Below are 6,194 nucleotides of genomic sequence, written 5' to 3' on the forward strand. Positions count from 1 at the left end.
GTGACAGAAAAAAAAAAGAACTACATGAGACTGGGTAATTTATTAAAAAAAAAAAAAAAACCAACAGGTTTAATTGGCTCACAGTTCTGCAGGCTGTACCGGCTTCTGTTTCTGGGGAGGCCTCAGGAAACTTAACAATCATAGCAGAAGGGGAAGCAGGCACATCTTACATGGCCAGAGCAGGAGGAAGAGAGAGAGCGGGGAGATGCTACACACCTTTAAACAACCAGATCTCATGAGAACTCCTGACCTCGGGTGATCCACCTGGCTCGGCCTCCCATAGTGCTGGGATTACAGGCGTGAGCCACCATGCCCAACCCTATATTTTAATTTTCAAATGAAGTAATATATTTGGTCTTTTAAATAGGATGTTTTTATTCAGTTAAAAGATGCTAATTAGGCCAGCCCGGTGGCTCACCCCTGTAATCCCAGCACTCTGGGAGGCCAAGGCAGGTGGATCACCTGAGGTCAGGAGTTTGAGACCAGCCTGGCCAACATGGTGAAACCTTGTCTCTACTAAAAATACAAAAATTAGCCAGGCTTGGTGGTGGGTGTCTGTAGTCCCAGCTACTTGGGAGGCTGAGGCAGGAGAATCACTTGAACCTGGGAGGCAGAGGTTGCAGTGAGCCAAGATTGTGCCACTGTACTCCAGCCTGGGCGACAGAGCGAGACTCCATCTTGAACAAAACAAAACAAAAACAAAAACAAAAAAGAATTAATCACCTGAAATCATTAGGTCTATCAGTTTTAGATTTAGATTTGAATTGAAATGTCACTTAAATTAGATACAATTTAAAAATCCATATCATGAACTTAGTTTGGAAAAATCTCATGACAATTAAACTTTCTAAATCTTCAAAAGAACTTCCAGTGTTAATAATGCTAGCATACCACAGGATGCCGCGTGAGCAAGTTATGTAGTGAAATTGTCTCATCTCAGCTTTGTTACTTGTGGATAAACTCACATGCCAGAGGGTGTGGTCAGGGCTGTGAATTACAGGTGAGGCCAAGTGACCTCCCACTGCTGGTGGTCACTGTGACTTGTCAGACTCCACCTGCCCATGCAGTCACCACTTTAGCCAAGGATGCCAAGGGCAGTGGTGCTTGGGTAGGCGGCCAGCTGGGAGTGGAGTGGGGGTCTGTGTAGAGACAGGAGGGGTGATGGGATCCAGGAATAAGAACCACGGGAACCTCTGGGCCAGACACAGTGCATTTTTTTTTCTTTTTCTTTTTTTTTGAGACAGAGACTCACTCTGTTGCCCAGGCTGGAGTGCAGAGGCGCTGTCTTGGCTCACTCTACCTCCCAGGTTCAAGTGATTTTCCTTCCTCAGCTTCGCGAGTAGCTAGGACCACAGGCACGTGCCACCATGCTTGGCTAATTTTTTGTATTTTTAAGAGAGACGGGGTTTCACCGTGTTAGCCAGTATGGTCTCGATCTCCTGACCTCGTGATCCCCCTGCCTCAGCCTCCGAAAGTGCTGGGATTACAGGCGTGAGCCACCGCGCCCGGCCAAGAGTGCACTTTTTAAGTAAAGAACTTGTAAGTAGAGTCTGAATCCTGTGGAATATGTCTTCATCCCACTATTCATTTCTTTGTTATTACAGACCAGCTGAGCTAGTGAGCAAGAAACACAAGCACTGAAGCTGGAAGCGTCCCCATCAATTTCTGTGGCTGCCAGCACAGAACCGCAGGAAGTAACACAGCATTGTCCTACTGATGCTCTCACCTGGGGTCTGCCCTCATGTCCAAGTGACACAGCTGCCCTTGGTGACCAGAAGCCACTCACCTGGTCCCTGCATGCCAGCTTGCAGTGAGGACATCTGTCCAGGCACGAGAGCCCACCTTCCATTTTGAGAATTACTGTCAGTACCTCAGTTAGATAAGCTAGGCTTCTGCAATCATACTGAAGTGTAACATCCATACAACAAATTGCACAAATCACAGCATGTAACCTGGTGAATTTTTACAAAGTGAATATGCCCCAAAAACCAACACCCAGTTCTAGAAATAGAACATTAGCAGCCCCTCAGAAGCCCCTCAGAAGGCTGCTTTCTCCTTTCCTGACACTAGCATTCCTTGACTTTATTCTGCTTTCTAGCACTGTAGGTTAATTTTACTTGTTTTTAAACTTTATGTAAGTGGGGTTGTAAATTATATGTTCTGTGCCTGTCTTCTTTTGCTGCAACATTAGGAGTCATCCACATTATTGTATCAGGCAACACTTTGTTCATTCCCATAACCTATGGTATTTAACTAGATAAATATGCTACACTTTACTTATCCATTGTACTTCTGGTGAATATTTGTGGCATTTCAAAATTTGGGATATTACAAATAATAAAGGAATAAGCATTTTTACATGTCTTTCGGTGGACATATGCAGGCTTTTCACACACTTTTTAAAAACTGTTTAATAAACACCCTGTTTTGCAAGAAGTTCACATGCCAATTCATGTAGAGTTGCTTGAGTCTGTAACAACTGAATAGAGGTTAATTGTATGATGTCTTGTAATATGTTTCCTTGTTGGTCATTTAGTCATGTGGCAGAAACCACTAGTTGTTTGCTAAAATTCATTCTCTGTTTCCTCTATGGTAATGGACCCTCCACATTTTAAGCTAGGCAGATGGCTGCCCAGAATAAAGACTACCAATAAAGGTGCAATCATGTTCCTAAGTTCTTAGTAACAGGATGTAGTAGAAATATGGCATGGCAGATTCCAAGATCTTTCCTAAAGGGACACACTTTGCTTTCCTATCTCCCTTCCTCATTGCTGTGTATAAACATATACTGCCATCTTCCACCTTGGGGTTGCGGCTCATACAGTGGCCACAAGACAGAAGGAACCTGGGCCCTGATAAAATCAAGTGTTATATTTACCTTAGACTGCCTATGCAGGTTTTGACAAGAGCTACAATGGTTTTTCTACCACTCATAACTGAAATAAATTATAATATATAAGATAGTTTCCAATTTTTGATATTGTACACTATATAGCAGTGAACATTGTGCAATATATCTTTTTTTTGGAAATGTATAATAGTTTACTGTTGTAATTCATTTATAACATGTGTTGGACAACTTAGCTAATATGTTAATTGATTTATACAATTCCTTTCAATTTTATCTAAAAATAGCAGACCAAAATTAAATTAAGAAACTTACATAAGATTCCATTTGAGCATACATAAGGCCATGATACTTTAATGTGAACCACCATTTCTTGGAAGAAAGAAGACATCCAAATGTCCAATTCAGAGAGAAAGTTCCTGGCCAGTCATCCAGTAGACTCTCTCCACTCTTCAGTGCGAAGGTGATGCTTATATTTTTACAAATCTCTACAAAGCTCACATACAACAAGACAGTACATCCTAGATTTGTGACTGATATGAGCATTTAAGGCTGTCATTTTCAAGTATAAAAGTTTAGTGTTCCATTACCCAATCTGTGCAGTAGACATAGCTATAAGCTCAAGTCACATGAATTAACAGAAGCCCACCAAAGACATTTAAAAAATTATAATTTAGGCAACAGCAAGTTTAAATGTAGGAAAGGCTAGAAAAAAATGTGTAGATGAGATTGTTTCTCTAAAATGCATTAGGTTGTTCACAATGAAGCTTTGTCTAACACCATTATCTGATGCATGGCATATGCAATAAGGCAGATCCACAGCAGACCAAACAAGGAAGCTGAATTAGGTAATAGAACTAGTAATTAAGATGGTTCACCTCTAACACAGTTCTGCAGCCTGTTCCCCCGAGAGAAAGATTAGAAAAGGCTCCAGTGTACCAAATAAGCTTCACAGAAGAACATGAAAATTTTTCTCCAACTTTTTTTTTTGAAGCAGAGCCTGTCACTTAGGGACCAACTGCTTGTAGATGAAATAAATCAACATTAATTACTTCTAGCCTAATGTAATATGGCTGGAGAAAATGGGTCTCCGGAAGCCGGTATTTTGTTTAACTTACATTCTAGGTGTGTATATAAGTTCTCGCTCTATAACTTCTGCTGTGGTCCCAACATCTATATCTGAAAGGTGGAAGCAGCTGCTCTGTTACAATTTTCATGTAACATGCTTGGATTCTAGGTCTTTCCTCTTTAACACAACTTAAAGTTTCTTGTGGTTTGGTCAGCATACACACTTCTCATTTCATTTGATGTACACAGCCAAAGTGGGAATTAAAAAAAAATTACCATCTAGTTCAGAGAGCTAAATTGAGTCCAGCATTATGGCAAAGTCTGACCCAAAATTTTAATTTGTAATTTTAGCATGTGTCTCATGCACTTTGGGGAGCGTCAAACTAAATCTACAATTGCCCGAAGCCTTGTTACAGTTTAATGCACATTAACTAAAATGTGTACATTTTTAGTGTTCATGATAAATGCAGTTATGACCTTATTACACTTTAGGCATTCTTTAAGAAAGCACATTAAGCTTTAATATAGAAATATTTAGGTTACACTTGTGCTCAAGTAATAATAAAACATTTGTTCTTTTTTGATCTCATACATTCTCTCCTCAGGTATGGCCCATCTCCTGTACGCTTGGAGCGACCTTTGGCTATGTGGCTGGCCTTGTTATTTCACCACTCTGGATATACTGGAATAGAAAGCAACTTACATACAAGAACAATTAACTGGAACAAAGGGAGATATTTCTTTGTGCAGATTCTGTAAGGGCTGTGCAGAAATGTGTATGGTCAAAGCCAAGCAGTTCCATTTACAGCTCTGTTTTTTACGTAGTTACATGATGTGATTGTAGCTTTTTAAACTATGAAACCCCTGAGAGATTGTACCTTCTAGTTGAAATAAAGTATTTATAGTAGATTGTGGCTTCAGATACTGCTTACTGCTTCTTAAACCTTTAAGGAACATTCTTAATAAACTTTATGGAATTCTGGGGACAGGTTTTGTTTTCTTTCAAGTTTTGAACTGCTTCATTACCTATAAAAGGTCTGGGTATAGCTGTAGCATTTCATTTGCTTTCTCAGAGAAATGGCCAGTTTCCTTGGCCACTGAAGATGTTTCTCACGTAATTAAACAACAGTTTATACATCTTGATCCTATTCTTTTTTTTTTTACAGTGTGTTTCTTTGGAGTTAAAATGGCTATGATAGCCTCATCAAAAACAGTCTTCAATCCCTTCTGGGTTAAAGCTGAACATTCCACATAGCAGCATGCTCCTATCTCTTTTGCTAGTTTCTGTCCTTGTTCCACACATATAGGTTTTTCTTTCATATCATTCAGTCTTGCTAAAGTTTTGGGGTCATCTCGGAGATCAATCTGAGTTCTTATTAATAAAAAGGGTACATTTGGTGCGTATTCCTTAAGTTCCGGTACCCACTCCTCTTTCACATTTTGAAATGAGGCTGGATTTACCACCGAGAAGCATATAAGGAAGACGTCGGTCACTGGGTAAGATAAAGGCCTCAGACAGTCATAGTCTTCCTGTCCGGCCGTGTCATAGAGTCCTAGGAGGTACTACTTGCCCCCCACAGTGACGCTGACTGCTTAGTGGTCGAAGACGGTGGGCACGTACTCCTCCGGGAAGGCTTCGTTGGCATAGCTCATGAGTGGGCACGTCTTGCCCACCGCCCCGTCGCCGACCACCACGCACTTGAGCATCAGCGCGCCAGGCCCGTGAGCCACGCTGCTGCCCGCCGGCCTCCGGGCATGGTCCCCCCGGAGCCCCCGCCCCGGTCCCCGGGCTCAGCCCCAGCCCGCCTGGGGAGTCCGCCGCCGTCGCCGCCGCTCTGCGCCGCAGGCCGCCCCCCGACCGGCCCCATCCAGCGGCTCCCCTCGCCGGAGGGGAGGGGGCGGCGGGCCCGGGGCGCTGCCGCCGCGGCGGTCGCCGCCAGGATCCCCGCCCCGGCCCCGGTCGCTGCGCCTGCCCGCTGCCCCCGCCACTGGGCGCCCGCGCCCTCTCCCCGGCCTGGTCTCCCCAGGAGAGGATCCGCCGGATCATAAGCATCTTTTTTTTTTTTTTTTTTTGTGGAGTTTCGCTCTTGTTGTCCAGGCTGGAGTGCAATGGCACAATCTCGGCTCACCGCAACCTCCGCCTCCTGGATTCAAGTGATTCTCCTGCCTCAGCCTCCCAAGTAGCTGGGATTGCAGGCATGCGCCGCCACGTCCAGCTAATTTTGTATTTTTAGTAGAGATGGCGTTTCTCCATGTTGATCAGGCTGGTCTCAAACTC

The 6,194-nt window shown here is 43.4% G+C and overlaps 1 pseudogene; it reads right to left on the bottom strand.

Annotated features, from left to right (window-relative positions):
• Positions 3,036–5,966, bottom strand: RHOQP3 (ras homolog family member Q pseudogene 3; annotated as a pseudogene).

This window comes from Homo sapiens, chromosome 2 (assembly GCF_000001405.40).
Source record: "Homo sapiens chromosome 2, GRCh38.p14 Primary Assembly".
Lineage (NCBI taxonomy): Eukaryota > Metazoa > Chordata > Mammalia > Primates > Hominidae > Homo > Homo sapiens.